This window comes from Homo sapiens, chromosome X (assembly GCF_000001405.40).
Source record: "Homo sapiens chromosome X, GRCh38.p14 Primary Assembly".
Classification (NCBI taxonomy): domain Eukaryota; kingdom Metazoa; phylum Chordata; class Mammalia; order Primates; family Hominidae; genus Homo; species Homo sapiens.
The window spans coordinates 149,986,339-150,009,586 of record NC_000023.11 but is presented as its reverse complement, the minus strand read 5'-3'; the positions used below and the strand labels follow the sequence as shown (position 1 = coordinate 150,009,586).

The window sequence follows — 23,248 nt, the reverse complement described above, 5'->3', positions numbered from 1 at the left end:
TTCCCTGATGGAGGATACCCAGCTTTTGGTGCTCTCTTCAGGAGAGTAAAGCTTCTCTGACAGGAAGATGAGAGACTTCCACTCAGGCTCTGGATTAGCATCTCAGAAATCTGAGTCAATAGAAATCATGCCAACCAACCTCTATGGCACAATATATGCTCACTTAGTAGACATAGTAATAATTAATTATTATTACTCAAATATTACTCAATATTTTATGACTATTGGGGTAAAAGAACTCATAATGACAGCTCACTCAAGGCTCTCCATAATCCTGCAACTGTCTCTGCTCAAAGCCGCATTGCTATCTTCATGATATCTGTTTCAGTCATGGTTATCCAGAGAGAACAAATAGGAGATACACACACACACTCACACACATGCACACGCTCATACATGTGCATGCACACACATAAACACACACAAACACATTGTCTTAGTTCATTTTGTGCTGTTCTGACAGAATACCACAGACTGGGTAATTTATAAACAACAGAAATATGTTTTCCACAGTTCTGGAAGCTGGAAGTCCATGATCATGGTACCAGCTGATTTGGCATCGAGTCAAAGCTGTCTCCACTTCCAAGACGGCTTCTTGAATGCTACATCCTCCAGAGGGAGAAACACTATTCCTCACATGGCAGAAGAGCAAAAGAGCTGAGAGGGAGAGAGCAAAAGGGGGCCAAACTTGCCCTTTTATAACATACTCACTCCTACTCAACAGCATTAATCCACTCATGAGGGCAGAGCCCTGTCGATCCAATCACCTCTCAAAGGCCCCACTTCCTAAATATTGTCACAATGGCAATCAAATTTCAACATGAATTTTGAAGGGGACAAACAACATTCCAACCATAGTGCATGCACGCGTGCGTGCATGGGGGTGTGTGTGTGTGTCTGCGTATGGAGAGAGAGAGAGAGGGAGAGAGAGAGATTTTTTTTTTTTTTTACTTGGGTAGGATTTTTAATAACAAATGAGCAATATATTTTCAGCAGGCTATATATATGCTGTAAGATAAGCTTTATAGAAGCAGTACACTTTGTATCTTATGTTGACTACTAATAATGATTTTCATATAAAAGCACAGCAAAGCGATCCATGTACAAAGTAATATAACCCACTTAAAAGACTGCACAAGCAAATTAAAATAAATGGGGAAATTTCTCAGGGAATAAAATTTCTTGAAGATTAGAAACACTGTTCCTCAATAAATAAGCACCCCTGGAATGTTTAGCACAAAAACTCTATGCTTGATCGTTTTACTATTTCAGCAGGACTGTCAGAGAGGTTGGTCTTTGTGGAGTCCTGTTCCTTTCAGGTGTTAGAGATTTTAAGGAACTAGTTCAGATGATTGTGGGAGATGGTAAGTCTGCACATGCAGACAGGCTAGAAACCCGGGTAAGAAGTGATGTTACAGTCTGGAATCCAAAATTTGCATGGCTGGTCAAGCAGCCTAGAAACTCAGGCAGGGTTTCCATGTTACGGTTTTGAGGCCAAATGTTTTCTTCTTTGGGAAACCACATTTTTTTTTTTTAATCTCAAAGCTTTCAATGAATTGGATGAGGCCCACCCACATTATGGAGGGTAATGCTTTACTCAAAGTTTGCTGATTTAAATGTTAATCTCATCTAAAAAAATCCCTAAACAGCAATATCTAGACTAGTATTTGACCAAACAACTGGGCACCATAAGCTAGTCAAGTTGACACATAAAATTCACCATTATTAGTGTCCAAATATGGTCTGCCTTTGCTGCTCACTTAGGTCATTTACTCTTCTCCTTTGAACTGGGTTTACCTTGGACTAGCTGATACTGGCTTTGCACCCTTTGCCTGGTCCCTAAATCCTGTCATACCTTATAAGAATAGTCCCACACATTAGGTCTGCTCTTCTTCTACCCTTTAACTGCTTCCAGAATAACTTGAGTCTAAGCTACCAGACAAGCAACAGCAGGCACCAAACAAAAAGAAGCCAGTAGCCCCTGTACTCTAGGTCAGGAAATTCCTCTCCACTCAGGAAATTCCTCTCCTTCAAACTTCCTCATGCATTAGCTCTGCTGGCCCCGAAGTACTTGGCTTTGTGTACTGTCTCGCTGGTCTCATCTAGCTCCATGTCAAGCTGTTTGCCTTCACTCTGACCTCAGGATGTTGATCCAAATCTTCTCTGTCCACCAATGCTGGGAAAGAAGTCCCATGTCTGTAAACTCCATCCATCTGGGAAGGAAGACTAGATAACCTGTATGATGCATTACAGTTCTTAAAACACTTTCACATACACTACCCACTAACCGGTATTCCTTGACATTGTCTGAAAGCTTATAAAGATATCATCCACAAAACCTCACTTGACATGTAAGAAAATTGAGGTTCAAAAAGTGTAAGTCCTCAACACAAGGACATGTAGCTAGCCAATACACGTGACCCTGCTATGGAGCTGAAGCTCTGGGTCATTTCATTAAGCCAGAAGCACCTTGGCAAGGAGCTGAATACTACTAGACTAAGTACTACTACTACTAACAATGCCACCTTAGATTCATATGCAACTTAGCTTCCAAAATGATCACACAGGCATTTCTCACCTTCACCTAATTTTCTCAGGGTGGCTCAAAAATTCCCAACAGCATCCCTCTACCTACTGTAGGCTACAAAGACACAAAAATTCTCCTTCATCATCCATCTCAGAATATTAACTTGAAATTAGCCTACAAGGTCATCAAAAGCAAAGTTTTACAAGGTTGTTCATTAACTGGTGCATAGTGACTGAGAAACTAGACACAGTAGCTTTCATCTCAAGGGATGGGCCCACAAACCTGGCCCAGGCAGGGCAACCTGGCCCAAGGACTGCCCATATAGTCTTCACAAGTTATAACTGAAACTTGGCTGGGACTAGAATAGACCAGCCTGGGGAAATCTAAAACATAGAGACTAGGCAGGCCCATTATGGCTTTGAGGTTAGGGTCTCCAATAAGAGATGAGAAGTAGAGACTAATAATCTGTGTTGTGTAGGCCCAGACATGAGTTAGAGGGCAATGTCCCCACAGAGCAGATGAAGCACACCTTAAGAGGGTCTGGTAATAAGCAGCAGGCAGAGGTCCAGGCAAGGCAGGCCAGCAGCCTCACTGAGGATCAACAGTAAGCAACAAAAGGCTATGCTGGCTAGTAGGCTATGAGACATTGTGGAGTCTTGGACAGAAGCCTTAGACAAATATCTCCATGGATAGGCAGATGAGTGATCCCAGAGAATTCTGGCAGTGGACAAGCACAGACCCCAGGAAGACTGAAAAGGACAACAGAATTTCAGTCCTCAGTGGAAAAAGACACCAAGTACAAAGCCAAGGTAGGGACCAGGCTCTCTAATAATTAAAGAAAGTAGGTAGTAGACAGATAATGAGCTCCTGGATATGGAAGAGAAGGCAAGGTGTGCCAGTCCCAGGAAGGTGGCAACAATCTATTTATTAGGACTGAGGGGAAAAGTCCAAGATCAACTTGCAGCCATACTGCATCCATGACCTGCTTTTAAGACTGTGGATCCTTCAGATCTCTCTTGACTACAAGGTAGGGCCTCAGAGCCTTGCTAGGTAGAGTGGAGTAAGGTGCAGGGCCTCATTCTGAGAGTCACATAGGCCCAGTTGTGGGGAAAGGAGGACTGAAGGAGCATGAAGCCAACAGGCCCATTATAGGGTTTGTTGAGTGGAGAAAACACTTTCTTATCCAGGGAAAAGCCTGTAGGGGGAAATCACAGTTCTCTTTACATGTCACCCACCACTCTGATCCAGGGATCCTGGGATGTGGGTCTCTCTTTCTTATTTCACAGGATGTCAGTAAGTACCCCCTAGAGCCACAGCCGGGGGAAATAGAACCCTAACTATTCCAGAATCCTAGAATTGGAAGGCAGAAGAGTTCAACACCTGGCATTTAAAAAATGGGGAACCTGAGATCTGCCCAAGATCACCTAATAATTTAATCATAGAGGCTGAGACTTAGGTTTCCTGACTCCTAGCCTGAGGTTCTTTCCACTAAACCCCAAAGATGAATATTCTGACACCCACACGCATCTGAAGATGGCTTTATGACAGCCCCAATTTCCATCTATGCCTTGGACAATCAAACTGATTTATCTCATTTGGCTTCAAAAAACACATTTATAGATATAGATCAAGTAGGGGAGACTTCAGCAACCACCATATATAATAAATTAACTTTCTGTCTAAAGCCTGACTTACTTTGTCATTTGAGAAATAATGGAAATACCTACAATATGAACCCCTCCACAAAGCGTGATATATTTAGCAACTTTCAGTAGCATGTTAATTTCAAAATTCCAATATTTCCCCGTTGCTATAGCTATGGCATCTGGTTAAATCAGAGTTCAGCAGCTGTGGGCAATGCTAATACTGATTCCAGCCAACTTTTTGCTTTGTTTCTAATGCAGGATGAGGAAAATGAGAGCAAAACAGTCACATTCTCTCCCACTCCCTCCAAGGAGCAAAACCCCTTAACTAGTCTGAGTTAGACAACATATTAATTCTCCATCTGGCACCAATACAACTGGAGCCCTAAGTCCCAAAGTATTGAATTGATGATGCAAGTAATTCCAGATCTATAACTGGGAGTTACATGTTCAGGACATGCTAATATGTGAAAGCTGTGATCTGCTCATCCAGAGAATCTTGCTGCCTCGTATAGCTGCATGCTTTTGTCAATTCCTTTTACAAACATACCATTTGAGGATTCCTGGACAGGAAAAAATAAGGGCTTTCAAATAGAGTCATCACTTTGGGCTACACAGCTCACAGCTTTCCATTTTGAGCTACTATTATTTAAGGGCTTCTTTTACTCAATTTTCAAGAGAAGTTATCTTAGGCAGGTTTCTTAGGTCTACACACTGGGTCCATTAATGGGCTCTAATCTGTCTACACAGCCCTCTATTTCCTTGACTCCAAATAGTGACTTGGTCTCTAAATGTTATTCCAAAGATTTATGGGCCATCATAAATACACATGACAGAGTATTCCCAAAGTTGTGACAATAAAATCAATACAGTATAAATTATGGCATAGATAAGTGATGGCATGCTATCTTATAGGATTGGAAAGTAGGACTGGGCCCATTTTTAAGAAGGCATTTAGCAGGTTTTCTATAATCCTTTCTCTCAAATGTTAATTTTGTCTTCAAATTTTCAAAGTTTTGTTGGCACAGATTCTCTAGAAAATGGGGTCTAGAAAATAGGGTCTATACCTGAATTTAAATAGAATGACCCAAGTCTGACAAAACCAGACTTGGGTCATTCTCAAATAAGGCCAACGGCTCATCTCAATCAGTATAATTTCTACCTGAGAACCCTCGGCTTGAGAAGGACCTAGACTCATAGGAGGTCTGCTACTGAAATCTTTTGGGGGGCTACACAAATGGGAAATCTAGACATTGGGATTGTCCTTGTTTTTCAAATTAAAAATATCCACGAAGTGCCTGCAGGGTGAATACCTTGTCTGTCTCCAATATCCTGGAATCCCAGCAACAGCTCCCCATTTCCACTTTAATGTGCATTTCCAATGTACACGTGAAGACCCATGTACATTGCACACACGTCCGGAGGAATTCAGCGATTTTGAGTTTCTGTTTAGAATGATGTTGCCATAACATGATTATATGACATCAGGGTTTTATCACGCAATAATATGCATTATTGGCCAATATTTCCTTTCTTATTCCCAAATGTCTTATCAATACTCCCTTGTGGTATCCATGTTATTAGACGCTCATTGTACAAATTCCTCACAGTAATGGGGACTTATCCTCACTGATGCTCACATTAATTCAAAACTCAAAAAGACACAAACTGCTAAGTTTTTGGTGAATAAGGCAGGGATGCTTTGGAGATCGGTCCAAGAATCTTAAGAGCATTCTTACGTAACTCTGTAACTTTTGAAATATATTTTGGAGTGAAATACAATTGGTTAACAGTGACTGGAGAGAAGGTGATAAAAGGATATCCTTTACTATCTGGCTGTTGCTTGTGTCTCAAGTTAAGAAAACACATACAGAAAAGCACTGAATTGGAAATCAAAAGACATGGATTAATTAGTGTTTGCTCTGCCAATGTAGCTGTAAGACATTGTGCATGTCTCTTGGCCTCTTCAAATCTCAGTCTCCCTATCTATAAAATGATGGAGTTTCATTAGCTGATTGCTAAAGGACTTTCCTATCACAGAGTCTATGGTTTCCTAACATCTTCATTCTGCAGATCATGGTGAGGGTTATCCCTAGTTTTCTGATGTCTATGCTCATGGCCTCACTATTAGCCTAACTGATTAAAGGCATAAGCTTCTGAAATTGTATGACCAGACTTGCCTTTATTATCTCATTCTCAAATACTTCCATATTTGATTCCTTTCCAAGATTCTTTTAATTCGTGGTTATCTCATTGAACTTACTTAGGCCAAAAACAAGACACAAGAGAAGCAACTGACACATTTTACTCCATAGGTGAAGGTTTTGTGCCCACACAGATGATGGATGGGTGGGAAACAATGTCATTTGATGTCCACTGAAGGAATTTTAAATGCTTACTCTAGACAGGAGTACTTGAAAACTGCTTTTACATGTATAAAGAGCTTTCATACTTGCAAAGAATTTGGTGTGGCTGTGTAGCCCGAAGAAGTTTAATCTAGGAACAAGCAGTAGAAAATAGATTTTGGTATGGCCTAAAGAAAAGCTTTCTAATAGGGCAGCCTGATGAAATAAGCTGCCTTGAGATATAACGAGCACTCTGTCAGTGGAGGTACTCAAACCATAGGCTAGACAACCACTTGGTAGTGATGCAGCCAAAGGTACTTAGCCTACACTACTGGCTCATCTTTGAGGCCCCTTCAAACTCTAAAATTCTATGGGCCAATTTACTCCCTCACTCCCTTTTCTCACCTTCCCAGATAAAAACTGCTCCCTTATCTGTGTGATGCTCTCATATTCTAAATACTTTGACACATTGTATTCTGTGGTGATGTGTTAGGTGACTTGTGCATGTAGCCACATCTAAAAACACAGAATGCAAATGTGCCCTAAATGAATTCCCAACCTACGAGGTTTAATCTTCAACATGGCATTGCTGGGTTTGTAAACTGTTGAGCTTCTTTAATAATATTTCTTTATGCTTTGGTCACAATTCAATTTTTAGATGCCTAGGATGGAAAGGTTTTATTATTATGACTTTTTCTTAGAATCTTAAAACATTAGTTGCCACAGCATCCTGAGGAAAAAGATGCTGCTGTGAAGAAAAATGCAAATTGCTTGCTTGTGGAATATAGTGAGTCAGTAGCAGATGAACAGGCATAATTTAATTTCACAGGGCTAGAAAATATGGAATGGAAATAGAAACTAGAAATGCTTTACTCTTCCTAAATGATGATTTCTACTTCTCCCTGTCCCAGATTAAGGTCTTACCAAGTCAGAGTGGCAGTATGAGAGCAGGTGAGCAGTAGAAAATAGTGAAGCCAAGACAGGTTAGCAGAGAGGGTTGGCTCCAAATAAATGAGCTATTGTAGGAGCTGAAGATGAGCAAAAGATCACACAAACTGGTGGGCAGAGCCAGATGGGAGGCTTTAAGACCACACAGATATCTATATAGTGCTTATGTTTGCACAGACTCACTATGGAAGGATCTGAAAGAAGGTAATCATAGCAGCTGCCTCTGGAGGAGGGAACTAAGGAACACAGGATTAGTTAGGACAGGCGGGCCTTACATTCCACTGAATATACTTCTGTTTTATTTGCATTTTTATCATGTAGGTCTTACCTTAACAAAAAAAAGAACCTATCAAAAGAAGACAAGTTAGTAACTGTGAAGAGTGAAAATGTCGAAGGAACAGCACAAGATGCTCAACAGCCAGAAAATAAGCAAGACTGCCCTGACCTAAGCAAACAAGACAGGCCAGAGAACAAAGTAAGGCCCTTGATCTTGACCCTGACCCTGAGAGCAGTGCTGTCCAAATCACAGGTACCTGTATTAGTTTGCTTCTCACCTTGCTGTGAATTAGTCCTGAGCAAACCTGATCTAGACACCCACAGATAAAAATGAAAATACCTGGGTGGGTAGAAGGTGAGCTAGGGAGTGCAGGGGGTTTTCTTGGTAGAGGGACTGCTTTGATAATCAGGTTTCTTAGTGCACATTAAGCATGTGTTCTTATAAGAGATTTGATGAAATTTTCTAAAATCTACACAATGATAGGCATTTAAAGAGTGATGGTCACTTATGTCCCAAATCATAACTCTACCTTACTTTGGTGACAGATATATATAATATATATAATATATATATTATATATATTATATATATTATAATAGTATATATATTATATATATTATATATATTATAATAGTATATATATTATATATATTATATTATTATATCATATATTATATTATATATTATTATATATGATATATATTATATATTATTATATATGATATATATTATATATCATATATGATATATTATATTATATCATATATGATATAAAATATATAATTATATATAATATATTATATCATATATGATATATAATATATAATTATATATTATATATCATATATTATATATAATATATTAAATATATTATATATAACATATTATTATATATATTAAATATATTATATATAACATATTATTATATATATTAAATATATTATATATAATATATTAAATATATTATATATAATATATTAAATATATTATATTATATATAATATATTATTATATATAATATATGATATAATAATATATTATTATATATATGATATATTATATATTATTATATATAATATATGATATATTATATATCATATATTATATATTATATATGATATATAATATATTATTATATATATCAAATATATTATATTATATATAACATATATTATATATAATATTAAATATATTATATTATATATAATATATTATTATATATAATATATTACAGATATCTATATAATATTGAATCTATATTGAATATTTCAATATAGATAATATTCACATATATTGAATCAGATTCACTTATCACCTTGAAAATGCAAAACCCAAACTTGAACAGGCTTGTGTTCAGGCTTGAACGAAATGTTAAAAGTCATAAAGTTCAATCTCATCAGACGTTTAAACCCCCTCTATGGCTTCCCTGCCAGGTAAGTGGTCAGTTCACTACTTGAACTCTTCCAGTGACAAGGAACTCACTACCAAATGAACTAGCCCACCGAAGTCGTGGATAGCATAGTCATTAGAAGGTTTTCCCTTGTGTTGAGCCAATAATCTGACTTGCAGGCATTTCAATCCGTTAGTGTTGATTCTGTTCTCAGGAGATTACAGAACCAGACTGTTCTTTGCCCTACATGTCAACCCTTCAAATCTTTGCAAGTTGCTATAATGGTCCCCAGACTCCTCTCATAATATTAAAGTAAATTATCTCCAGTTATTTCCACTGTTCTCTATACAACCAGGTTACAAAGTCATCCACATCCTGGTAACTTTCTGAATGGACTCTCATTTGTCTAGGTGCCTTGTATGACAGGAACACAAGTAAGAAGTAAACAGAACAGGTGTGTGCAGGTATGGACCACTGCTTCTTGTACTCTAGGCACTAGCCTTCAGTAAGGTGGTTTGAGGTCACTCAGTCTTTTGGAGCAGCAACATCAACCTGTTAGGTACTGCTGGTCTTTCTATCAATTGAAACCCTGAAGGCTTCCTCCTACCTGGTGCTATTAAAGCAGATCACTCTTGCGTGGTTCATTGGGGTTTGAAACCCACATTTCCCTGTTACATTTCATCCTCTTGGGTTTGGTTTACTGTTACTTTCTGACAGCCAATGACTGTGTGAGCCGATGCCTTCACTTGGCTGCCCAGCTCCCCCATCTGTGAATCTCCTCACAGGCCATCGGTGGTCTCTCCATGTCACTCTTGACAGTGCTGAACAGGTCAGAGGAAGGGATGGTGTGCTGAGCACCAGCACCAGCAGCCTCTCTCTGAGGACATTAGTCTAGCCATCAGCATCGGTCACTGTAGGTTCAAAAAGGGCACATTTCTCTACCTTTTCCTTAGTAGATGAGAAAAGCCTTTGAATTTTAGAAATCTTCTTTGCAAATACAAGGTACTCATATTCTTTTAACTCATATTTACTTTTTACTTTTCACCAAGGACATAATAATCCTTGAAAACATTTGCTTATTTTATACTTGTCTGAAGAAAGTAAACAATCTTTTATTGTAAGGTGGAGCCATTTCTTCATACATAAATATTTACTGAGTGTCTCCCTATGTACCAGGCACCAGTCTAGGAGCTGAAGATAAACAATGAAGAAAGGCAACATTCCCTGCCCTCCTGGCATGTACACTCTAGCGGGGCTCAGGGTCCAGATGAATGTTCTTGATGTACCAAGAATATGCTAATGAGTTAATGTTTCTCTTCAAAGTGCAATCTAAACAAACAATTCGGTCCCTCCTGAAAGAAGACTTACTGCCTAGGAGGGTTCTGAATCTTGTTCATCTTCAAGGAGCTCCACAGAGTTTTGTGGTTCAATTCAGTTCAGTGAGTATCTGGGAGGTGCCTGTGTGTAGCCAGCATGATACTTGATGCTGTCAGAGACAACAGGGACCTAGTAAGATGACTGTCTCTATCTTTTCTAGTAAAGCTGACCATCCAACTGGGGAGGCAAGCCTGCATTTAGGTTCCCAAACTTAGTTACAGAAATACAGGATGAAGAATAACAGACTTGAGAGTATATTACTTCAAAAATGCTCACTGAGGGACTTTGAAGAATTCCTCCCCTGCTCTGAGACCCATTTCCCTCCCACATAAAATGAAGGGATTATACTGGCAGTGGTTCTCAGTGGGGATGGTACTGCCCCCTTAGGAGGAATGAGGAAATATATGGGGTTGGGGTTTTTTGGTCATCAGAATGACTGAGGGGTGCTACTGGAATCTAGTTGGTGGGAACAAAGTGTACTACACATCTTGCATTGCACAGGACAAACAGTCCCCTGCAAGGAAGCATGGTCCCACCTAAAATTCCAATAGTGCCTGATATGGTTTGGCTCTGTGCCCCCACCCAAATCTCATGTTGAAGTGTAATCCCCAGTGTTACAGGAAGGGCCTGGTGGGAGGTGATTGGATCATGGGGGTAGTTTGTAATGGGTTAGCACCATCCTCCTAGCACTGTTTGTTTAAACATGTGTAGCACCTCACCCAACTCCTGCTGGCCATGTGAAGATGTGCTTGCTTCCCCTTCGCTTTCTGCCATGATGGTAAGTTTCATGAGGCCTCCCTAGAAGCAGAAGCCTGTACAGCCCGCAGAACCGTGAGCCAATTAAACATTTCTTTATAAATCACGCAATCTCAGGTATGTCTTTATAGCAGTGTGAGAACGAACTAATACAGTGCCCCCACTGAGTTGCGTTGGTAGATCATCCCTCTAAGGGCCCTTCTATCATTCTGACTTTGTGACTTAGGGACTTTACCTCATCACAAGACATGATAGGGCTGTCAAACTACCAATACAACCTTGGACTACTTTGTTAACCGGAGACCCATGTTTTTTTTGGAACCACCAGCATCATGATCACCTGTGATGTTTGTTAAAATACAGAGTTCCTGGTCCTACATATTGAAACCGGATCTCTGTAGGTAAGGCCCAGGATTGTGGATTCTAGTGCCCATTAAAGTTTGAGGGTTTACATAAAGAGAAAGCTGGTCCTGCCCTCCTTGACACTGATGAGAACAGTGCTGGATTCCAACTTCACTACCCTTATGACCCTGTAAATGAAATGTGCCCAAAACCCTCCAAAATATCCTGAAGCTTACATCCTGTTGTCTGTCTCTCCTAAACTTTCCTCATCAGGGTTCTTTAACATTCCATTTTGCTGTTTTTCCTCCTGCTTCTCTCACTTCTCCTCAGTTTTCTTCATTGACTTCTCTTTTCATCCTATGCCCTAAAATAGCAGTTCTCGGTCCGGGCGCGGTAGCTCATGCCTGTAATCCCAGCACTTTGGGAGGCCAAGGCGGGTGGATCACGAGGTCAGGAGATCGAGACTATCCTTGCCAACACGGTGAAACCCCGTCTCTACTAAAAAAAATACAAACAATTAGCCGGGCGTGGTGGTGGGCGCCTGTAGTCCCAGCTACTCGGGAGGCTGAGGCAGGAGAACAGCGTGAACCCGGGAGGTGGAGCCTGCAGTGAGCTGAGATTGCACCACTGCACTCCAGCCTGGGCGACAGAGCGAGACTCTGTCTCAAAAAAAAAAAAAAAAAAAAAATAGCAGTTCTCAGGTTGTGTTCAGGCCCTGGGCTATTCATTCATAACCCTTGCCATTGAAGAGCTTAGTGTTATCTTGAATGATTTATGACTAGCATACTTTAATCATACATGAAATTCACAGAGAGAAAAACATAATTAAACATTTACAGACAATAAATGCTTAAATGCTATGGGAGGTCAAAATAAGAGATACTGTCATGTCACAAGCCACCCAAATATACTACTGTATCCTCTTAGAAGAAAGAACCAGGAGTAAAGGTGGCAGATGAAGGTAGGATCCAGAGGAATGTGTGGGAAAGCTCCTTCATAACACTGCCCAGGACAGCAAAGCTATAACTTCTGCTAAAAGTCTCCTCTCTGAAATATTGTCAAACTCTTTCGCATTTTCCTTCTATCCTGGCACTGAGCCACGGTTGGAGGGAAAAGGTAGAACTGCAGCCATAGTGAAGTCATTGTGCCAGAAGCCATGGGACCCAGATTCTCCAAGTGAGGGAGTCAGGTAGTCATGTCATTGGAGTCCAGAAGCTCTGATAACGGTGTGGTCAAGGCCAGCCCTGGAAGCAAGCCACTATCCCCATCTAGGAAAAGTACCCTAAAGTAAATAAGGTACTGGAGAGAAAGTAATCAATAATGTCTTCTTTGAATACAAAAGTCAATACATTGAGATGGGATATGGGAGGGAACTACCACTTTCTCAGCAATTACATGGTAGGTACTACACTTAAAATAACCCTGTGATGTCACGATTTTTATCCCCATTTTTGCAGATGAGAAAATTAGGCTCAGAATGATAAAGCTAGCAAATACAGAAATCCTTTCAAAATCAATTATGTCTAGTTCCAAGGACTATACTTTTTTGTTGTTGTTCTAAAAACTTGGGATTACTGGGCACGGTGGCTCATATCTGTAATCCCAGCACTTTGAGTGGCCAAGGCAGGAGGATCGCTTGAGCCCAGGAGTTCGAGAACAGCCTGAGCAACATAGAGATTCTGTGTTAACAAAAAATAAGAAAGTTATCCAGGCATGGTAGTACATGCCTCTAGTCCCAATTACTTGGGTGGCTGAGGTGGGAGGATTGCTTGAACCCAGGAGATGAGGCTGCAGTGAGCTGTGATGGCACCACTGTACTCCAGCCTGGGTAACAGAGACCTTGCCTAAAAAAAAAACAAAAACAAAAACAAAACAAAACAAAAAACTAACCAACAACCTTGGGATCTGGAAATCATATTAGGGAAAAGCCAATATTGGAAGGCAAGTGAACCAGGAAGGATCAAGGTAGCTGCCAGTTAGGTTCCCCAGAACATGGCAGAGGACAACATGTGTCTGCTCAGGACAGGTCTAGGTCAGAAAAGCCCTAGTCAAGTACTGCCACAAATTATTCCAAAGGATAGGATATGATGGGCAGCAGGAAACAGGTTCATCTATCGATAGGGTCATGATAGCTAAAGTCAAAGGTTAACAGAGAAGAAGGTCAAAACTTGATATGTGAGGTACCACTTTGCAGCCCCCCAGATATCAGACTGACCAAGGGATGAGAGGAGGCTGGCATAACCTGGCTGGCAGCAAAAAGGATCGACTGGATCCAGATGTAGGCCCTGTCTCCAATGTTTATTTTTTATTTTAATTTTTAAGTTCCAGGGTACATGTGCAGGATGTACAGGTTTGTTACACACGTAAAAGTGTGCTATGGTGGTTTGCTGCATTTATCAACACATCACCTAGGTATTAAGCCCCGCATCCATCAGCTATTTTTCCTAATGCTCTCCCTCCCTCCACCCCAATCCACTGTTTCTTAATGGAAGGCATCATGGCCCAGCCTGGTAAAATCTTAGAAGGGCTCTAATAAAAAGATAAATGACATTCTACTGACATAACTTTATCCACATGTTCAATAAATATACCACCAAAATTCATTCATGCACATAAAAAACATTTACTGATATGGTATTATATGCCAGGCACCATGACAACAACAGAAAAGATGGCACAGTCCCTATCACTACCCATGTGACTCTGAGTCAGGCATTATTAGGAACATTCAATACATTTTTAACGATTCGTTTGATATCTGCCTTCACCACCAGACTGGGAGATTTACTGGTGTAGGGAGCGACTGTATCAGTCTGAATCACCCCAGTATCTGTAGCTCTCTCAGCAAGAACCTGGTCAATAGTTGACATTCCCGTTGCAGATATGTCTGCTGGATTAACAGTACATTTTTGGGTGGTGCTTGGGAGTCAAGAGGAACGCATCTAAATTAAATTGGGATGAGGGTGGTCAAAAAGTTTTTTTCCAGGAAGAAGGGGCTCCTCATACTGAATTCAAAAGAATGAGCAGCATTAGCAAGAGGAAGAAGAGGGGGAACAGCCTCAGCAGATGGAACAACAATGCCAATTGCCAGTTCTGACTGAACTAGCCTAAATAAGTACTAATCACTTAGCAACCCCTGAATTCATTCAAACAATTAGATTTTAACCAATCCGAATGAAACCAGCAGCTGTGTGTAGAGACAGGACTACGCACTGTGCCCTGTGCATGTGTGTTTGCCAGCAGAGTTGGTTGTTGTTCTAGTATGATATGTAATGCTGAGCAGGAGGTGGGGGGCATCACAGGAATCCTCCAAGAGAGCACAAGGCAGCAACCTCAGACTCTCAGCAGCTTAGTCCTCAAACGGTATTCACTATACTACTCAATAGGCTTTCTAGTCACTTCTTCAAGGTAGCCTCTGCCCCTGGACTATTTGCTGACCAGTCTGCTGCTTGTTCCATTGGCATATAATCTCATCAAGCAGCTCTGGCTGTCTGTGACACGTTAAAGTTGTCCATCAAGTCTCTGCTATTTCTTTCATTGAGAGGCAGAATCTGATTACCTTCCCCTTGAATCTGGGTTGGTCCTCAGTGACTTGCTTGACCAAGAGAATGCAGTGGAAGTGACATTTTGGGACTCCAGAGGCTGAGTCATAAAAGGTTGTACATTTTCCACTTGGATCGCTGGAACACTAGCCCTTGGGGCCCTGAGCTGACACATAAGAAGTCCAACCACCCTGAGGTCACCATGCTGTTGAGGCCGTGTGTAGGTTCTCTGGTTGACAGGGCCAGCTGAGCCTAGCCTTCCTGCCATCCTTGCCAAAGCACCAGACAGACATGTGTGTGAAACTGGAGAGGGGGATACAGAGAGGAGGTTACCATACCAGCGCATTTACCAGCTGAGTGTCACTGGGTAATCCGTGTTGATCAAAAGAATCACCAAGATGAGCCCTGCCTGAATTTCTGAATTGTGAGCTATAGTAAAATGGTTTTTACATTAAGCAACTAAGTTTTGAGGGTGGTTTATCACACAGCAATAAGCAAGTGGAACACTGTCTTAGTCAACATTATATCAATGGTGCCGGTGTTGTGCCTGGCATGTAGTCAAGTTGCAGCATAAATTCACTGACTGAAGGAATGAGTACTAGAGAGAAGGATACGAAAAAGGGACATCAGGGAAAGACAAAGATGATTTCCAAGTGGCAGTTGTTATGTGTTGATACAACTTCATTTACAATGAGTAGAATTTTTTAAGTAACATGGTACCTACTCTCAGAAACTAACCAGAGTAGACATTTAAATTGTCCTGGAGGGGGTAAAAAAGAAACAACTGAATCTTTGTGCTATGTTGCCTACCATAAAGTACAGCTGCCCAATGGCTGTCCCTTTGTCCCAGATCTTAGGATATTCCAGCTCTCATGATCTAGACCCAGTCCAGCTACAATTAATATGCTTTTCCTTCTCTTCACTGTAAGACCTCTGCACTTTCCTGGAAGTGATTAGTTCCAAAAAAAAGCCAGCAAGAAACTATGAACAAGAAAATAATTACCATGAATCTTTTCATCTTATTGATAACAATTTTATAAATTAGTTTCCAAGGAATAAAGATTATTCTTGCTTTAAAAAAGAAAATAATTACCAAAATGAATGGGCTTTCAAGTTTGGCTTCAGAACCAGACCCACTTTCTAAAGTATACATACAGACTGTGCCTCCTGATGGAAACACGGAGACTTTGATTCTAAATGTAACTATGTTTTACTTGCCTCACCTTTAATTGTATGAAGTTCAGACCTAAATTCAATCAGTAGCCTATTGTTTGTTGCTTCCTGGGAAGCAAGTAGCAGCTGAAAGGAGAGCTGGGGAAGAATTGGGTGGGGTTGGAAATCTCAATCTTGGCACGACTCTTATGAATTTTCTTTTCCATTTTACTCACCTCCTTCTGGCTCTGATGTTATCAGTAATTTCCCAAGACAGAGAAAACCCAGACTTCCTCAAAGAGTTCAACTACCTGCCTCAGCAAAATCCAAAATGGGGAGACCAGCTGCTCCATAGAAACTCTGCTCCTGTGTTCGTGTCCAAGGAAACTTACAGAAAGGAAACACGCTGGCAGGGCTCTTTCATTTCTGCCTTCCTCTAGCTGGCTAAGAAGCGAAGTCTGTGGTGATTCTGGACAGCCCATCCAAAATCTGGAATGGACAGGACATTCTTGCAGCCAGTGAATAGACAGCAAAGGAAAGAGAAAATCAAGCCACTTTTGATGTATTCAAAGACATGAGCAAAATGGCACCAACAAAATGGATGATGAGCTCTGAAAAGGACAGCACATAAAAGCAAAGTTACTTTAATTTTCACATTGAGTCTAGGGTTGCAGTTGTCTGACAACAGTTTTCAAATGGCACAAATGTTACAAGACCAAACCTGACTTTTTCTACCTTACACTGCTCACCTGAATTCCTCTGGTTCCTCCGAAACCACATCTCTGAGTTTCTGCTAAGCTTTTGAGAGTTTTGAGATGAAAAGCCAATGACTTTCTTATTCAAGTACTAGAAGGAAATATTGTATAGCTTTACAGATGCAAAATGTAGATACAGATCAAGAATCAGTGTACTTGGGCTCTAGTTCTGCTTATGCTGTTAACTGACTGTGTTATCCTAGACTATTCATTTCCCTTCTCTAGGCTTAAGTTTTCTCATCTGCAAAATGAAGAGCATGGACAGACAGTGTGTAAGGGCTCTAAATGGCAAATATAATGAAATACTCATTATCCAAGGCTCATTTTCACAAGTGTAGCTTCTCTGTGGGTCGCCTTGGTTTCAAACTTATGGATAACAACACTTTTGATGAATGCCTTCCCTGTTAAATTAAGGCTTTGCTGCCATTTCAACATCTTCTTAACTTCGTATTCAGAACTACTCTTGGAAATCCATACACTTAACTACCTCCCATGTTGTGAAGGAAATCTTAGAGGGCAATGATTAAGAGAACTAAAAAATGAGGGGCATATATCCAGAATTAAGCACAAAAATCAGTCATCAAATAATAGTGCCATTGTGTTAAGTGGCCACCATATGTGAAGACTTTACATGGATCATTCTAACCCTTATGACAGCAATAAAGGTAATAAAGCATTAAGTTGTTGGTGAGAGCCAGACACTGTATTTGACACTCTGAAATACATGATCTCTGACAGAAAATGCTGCATAGCACTTGCTACCTGCCAGGCCTTGTTTTAAGTGCTTCCTGTATATTAATTTCCTTAGTACCCACACTGACCTCATGAGGAAAAGGTATTATTAATCTCATTCTACAGATGAGGAAACCAAGGCACAGAAAGGTTAAGTAACTTGACCAAGGACGTACAAGTTAATAGATAACAGAGCTAGGAATCAAATCTAGAAAGTCTGTTCCATACAACCCTACAAGAAAGATAATGTCCTATAACTGTAGGGATGCTTTTCAGCTGTGGATTAGCTGACAAATCAACCACAAAACCCCAATGGCCTAACACAACAATGGTTTACTTCTCACTCATGCTACATGTTGCCTGCAAGTTTATGAGTGTCTATGTTCCATATAGTCACTTAGGGACCCTTGATTGATGGAAGTTCCACCATGGAGATTGTTCCCCATTGCCTCAGCAGGGGTAAGAGAGCACACAGAGATTGCACACTTGCTTTTTTCTACTTCAGCCCCAAAGTGTCACAGGTAATTTTCCCTCACAGCTCATTGGCCAGACCTAATCATATGATCCCACCTAACTATAGGAAGCTTGGAAATTAGTCTTTCATGCTTTCAGAAGGAGAGAATCAGATGGTAGTAAATACTAGTTATGTCTATGCAAACTGCATTTATCAAAACATCCAACTAAATGTTCAGCTACATATGTAATGGAAAATAGTATTCTTTTAGCAAGGGAAAAGAAAACGGCTAGGATAGATAACTAGCAGTGTCCATCATATACCCTAATCTTAAGATGAAGAATGTGAGACTTAGAGAGGTTTAGTAATGGATTAAAGGTCATATAGTAAGAAAGTAGTACACTCAAATTTGAACCCTGGTCTGACTCCAAAGTCTATAATCCTTTTGCTCCAGCAAACTGCCTCCCAAAGACAGGAAGAAATTGTTTTGTGATCATCCACCACTCAGAATTATCCACAATGGTCCACAAAGTCTATAAAAGAGAACTTAGAGCTAGAGCTGGCTACTGACCACTGCTGCATCATATAAAACCAGAGATGTCAGAACAGGAAGGAGTTCTTACATGACAGACCAGACCACCTATCGCCACCTTAGTACTTTTCAGATATGGAAACTGAGGCCCATGATGTGGAGTATGTTGTTCAAGAATACATGGATGATAATGAGACAGTGCTACCATAACATTTGTATCAAGCAGGGTCTTGGCAGGAAACACAGCACATTCAAAAGGTGTAACTGAAGGTAGGGGCAGGGTTAAGGGAACCTATAAGGTAAGGTGCATTGGTCCTGGATCAGTAGCAGGAAGAAACCACTACCATCTCTCGACCTGAAGTGAGAAGGAGAGTAATGGTTACCAGAACCTGGTAAAAGCTGAGGCTGTCAGAGAGGGACAACCCAACACAAGCTATGGCATGAAATAGTGGAACACAGCCACTGCCAAATGTGACCTGGCAGAGAAGAAGCTGGAGAAGTAAATACTGAGATCTGGCTTTCCTCTCAACCCTCTGATCCTTTCTCCCTCCCCCACTGATACGTTGCATTGTCAAACCTAACTGGAAGCCAGAGGACAAGGGAGCCTGGTTGATGCAGCCCATAGAAGTCAGTCTCCAGGGGCCCAGAGCAGGGTAAGGAAGGGTAGAGAGTGCAGCTGGAGTGGGAAACTCAAGAGTATCCATTATGGTGACTTTCCTTTCTTTTCACTGATTCATTCATTTATTTATTTACCATGCATAGTGTCAGAAAGTGCTAAACACATTTTAATTTCCATCAACATTCAAGTTTTGTCTTTAAAATTTGGTGGTGAAAGCATGTCATCTATCCAAGTATAAGGCTAGTTTTATTTCAAAGAACAGGGGTAGATTTTAAGGCCATGCTCAGTTTAGCATGAGGTAAAGAAAACTACATTTAAAAAATTCTACCACAGCTTGACTTCTGGTTAAACATGGCAGACTGATAACACATGATTATCTCTCTCCCTCCCGAAGTCTCATTAATGGAATTAAAACAATGCAAATAAAAAGTGTGTGTGTGTGTGTGTGTGTGTGTGTGAGAGAGAGAGAGAGAGAGAGAAGAGAAAGACAGAGAGAAAGAGGTGTTAAGTCCACGCAGACTAAGAAAACAGGGAAGGAGACATTAGTGGACAAGAATTATCCATAAATGTTTCGAAGACAGGAAATGATGGGAAGAACGAATATTTATTTCAGAGAGTAAAGGAAAAGCAAGTTAGAACCTAAGTGCTTGCAGAAAGACATGCCAATGAAAAGTGAAACAATTAGTCCCCATTGAATCCTGGGAAGGCTTAAGGGTTTAGAAATACCAAGTACCACAGAAATTGGGATAAGACACAGGAAAACAGGAATTAAAACTCTGTATAGGGAGCAGCAGGCTCCCATATATACTTTTCAGCATGCAGCTACCTAGATAACTATTTTATCCTCTCCCTTTGCCCCCAGGAAACAAGAGAGTTCCACTCTTCAATATGAATAGACAGCCAAGGATCACAAAACATTTGAGGAACTCTTCCAATATGAGAGAAGTCAAAACAAACAAACAGAGAAAACAGAGATGATACAATAACAGAAGAAAACTTAAAACTATAATTAATATCCTCAGAGATAAGAGAAAATTTATATCCATAAGCATAAGCAGGATACTACAAAAAGGAAGACACAGAAAACAAAGGAATTTAAGGACACTGAAAATATGATAATCAAACTGCAAAAAAGTAAAAGGATTAAAATAAGAAAATCTCCCAAAAAGAAGAACATAAAGACCAAGAGAGGAAAAGACAAGAAAAGCAGAGGAACAATATGGGAGGTCTAATATCCAAATAATTGAAATTTCAGAAAGAAAAAACGAAGGGGAGAAAATTATCAAAGTCATAATGTAAGAAAAATAAGGACATAAATTTCCACATTTAAAGCTCCTAAGGAAGGATCAGTAAAATGAATGCATAAAGATCTATACCAAGTCACACTGTCAAAACATGTCTGAATTATAAGGGCTAAAAAAAAAAAGAACCTAAAAGGTTTCAGAGCAAAGGAAAAAAACAATGCTTATACGGAAGACTCTTATACCAGAACTAGATTGGCATCAGCCTTTTAAATAACAACACTGAAAACGAGGAGACAATGGAGCAATGCCTTCAAAATTCTGCGAAAAACCAATTCATAATTTTATACGCAACACAGCTATTTATTTCCTTTGGCAAAAATATAATTTTACCTGTGGAAGGATTATTTTTATTTTCCAGGCTTATTGACATCAAGCTTGGCCATAAGACTTGATTTTCCAATGACATGTGAACAGAAGTGATGTGTACCACTTCAGAGCAGCAGCTTTGACAGCCAACACTGATTCAATCAGTGCTATTTTTCCTCTGCCATGAGAACTGCTTCTCCTAGAGAGGGGCTGCTCCCTTAACCTAGGTGCCAGAGTGAAAAAGACCTGGCTAGAACTACTGCTAACCCATGAAAGACATAGGATACCAGTAAGAAAGAAATCTTGTATAAGCCATTGGGATTTTGGAATCATTTGCACCACGGCATAGCCTACTAAAAAGCTGACTAATATAATTTGTCATAAACCTTTATTTAGGAAGCTATTAAAGCACGTGCTCCAGCAAAACAAGTAAGCAAATAATTTTTAAAAAGGAGACAAAAGACCCAAAAACTAGGGTCCTAATACAGGAAACTGGCAAAGGGAGGATGATTCCTGTACAGAAGGCCCAGAGAGCCAAGGCTGAAGCGGGAGGCTGGAAGACTCCAAGAAAAAATAAAATTGGTAGGTTATCTGATATATTTCAGTGTTCAAAAAATAATACTGAGGACTACTTGATAAATCTGATGAATGTTGTGCAGAAAATAAGAAATGAGTAAAAAGAAAACTAAGCAAATAAGAAATTAGGCAATTATTGACTCTGGGGAAAATAAAATATTATTCAAAAAAGGAAGTGAAAGCATAATGCATTGCTTGGCTTGGCACTGGACATAAATGCAAAGCTATAATAACAAACACTGAATACCAATTTTGAAAAAATACATGATTTACTTATACTGGAGTAATGGAGGAAAGAAAATGGAGAGGCTGTATGGTCATCATTAGGGCTGTTCACAAATATTCCAGAGCATCTTTTCCCAGGCACATGGTAGGGTTGTACTTCCAGGCCTCTTTTCAGATTAAGTATAGTCATGTAGCTTGCTTTGACCAATAAAATGTGAGTAAAATTAATTTATATCATACCTGGGAAGAAGTTTTGAGAGGCAGCAGGCAATTAACTCTTTATTTGCCCATTTCATAGATCATGTGATCAGGTGTTGAGTTGGAGCCTCCATCATCCCATGTCCATCCTTCAGTGACCAACATGAGCCAGAGGCCCCCTGCCCACTTAAGTTGAATGTGTAGCATGAGCAAGAAATAAACTTCTGTTCTGTAAAGCCCCTGGTAACTAGGAATGTCTTGTTATGCAGCACAGACCAGCCATACTCGACTGATAGGGACTATGAGACAGCCAGCCTCTCATCTATCATCACAAGAAGTAAACACACAATATCTAAAATAATGAATCAAGTAATGGCAGCATAAGCATATTACATAAAATATGAAGGTAAGTACCAAAAGCAAGAGGAGCAGGATTGGGAGGAAGCAGTACCGGCCTGATTGGTTTTGTTGATGTTATTATAAGCCTGATTACAAAAATTATTCATATTATTGCATTGATAAAAATAATTTTAAACCCATATATATATGCATATATATATGCACATTTTACTGGAGATCCAGTATAAGGAATAAGATATTGGTAGCAGCAAGGTTTTAGTATGAATTTCCTCACCAATGCTCAGGATTCCTAATGGAGAAGACAGGGTCTAGCCTTCATTGTTTTTAATAGAGGAACTCAACTATCTCTTGACCCTTAAGACAGGTTCCTTTCGATTAAACATTAACTCTAGATATTTTGTAGAACTTTATCCTCCAGGATCAACATTCCCTAAACAGCAATGCTAAAAACAGTAGAAATGGATAAATCAAGACAGCTTTTATACTAAGTAATTAGGGATACTTTAGAACCAGTTTGTGAGAAGGACTTGGAGATTGTATTATTTTTAAAAATTACATTGAATCCAAGAAAACACACATTTTTCCAAGGGCTAAACAGAAAAAAAGACAGCTATGTCACAATAGAACACCTGCCCAAGTAGACCCTGGCACCTCCATCCAGAGATTTTTCTTCCTTAGAGAGTTTCTCTACTCATGTTTGGAAGGATTTATGCTGTACTATTTTTTTTTTTTTAAGACAGAGTTTCGCTCTTGTTGTCCAGGCTGGAGTGCAATGGCATGATCTTGGCTCACTGCAACCTCCGCTTCCCGGGTTCAAGCGATTCTATTGCCTCAGCCTCCCGAGTAGCTGAGATTACAGGTGCCTGCCACCATGCCCAGCTAATTTTT

At 39.9% G+C, this 23,248-nt stretch overlaps 1 long non-coding RNA gene across 1 annotated transcript in view; it reads right to left on the bottom strand.

Annotated features, from left to right (window-relative positions):
* The window catches only part of EOLA2-DT (EOLA2 divergent transcript), a 78,240-nt gene that overhangs the window by 7,201 nt on the left and 47,791 nt on the right, over nucleotides 1-23,248 (bottom strand). The gene's annotated exons all lie outside the window — the stretch shown is intronic.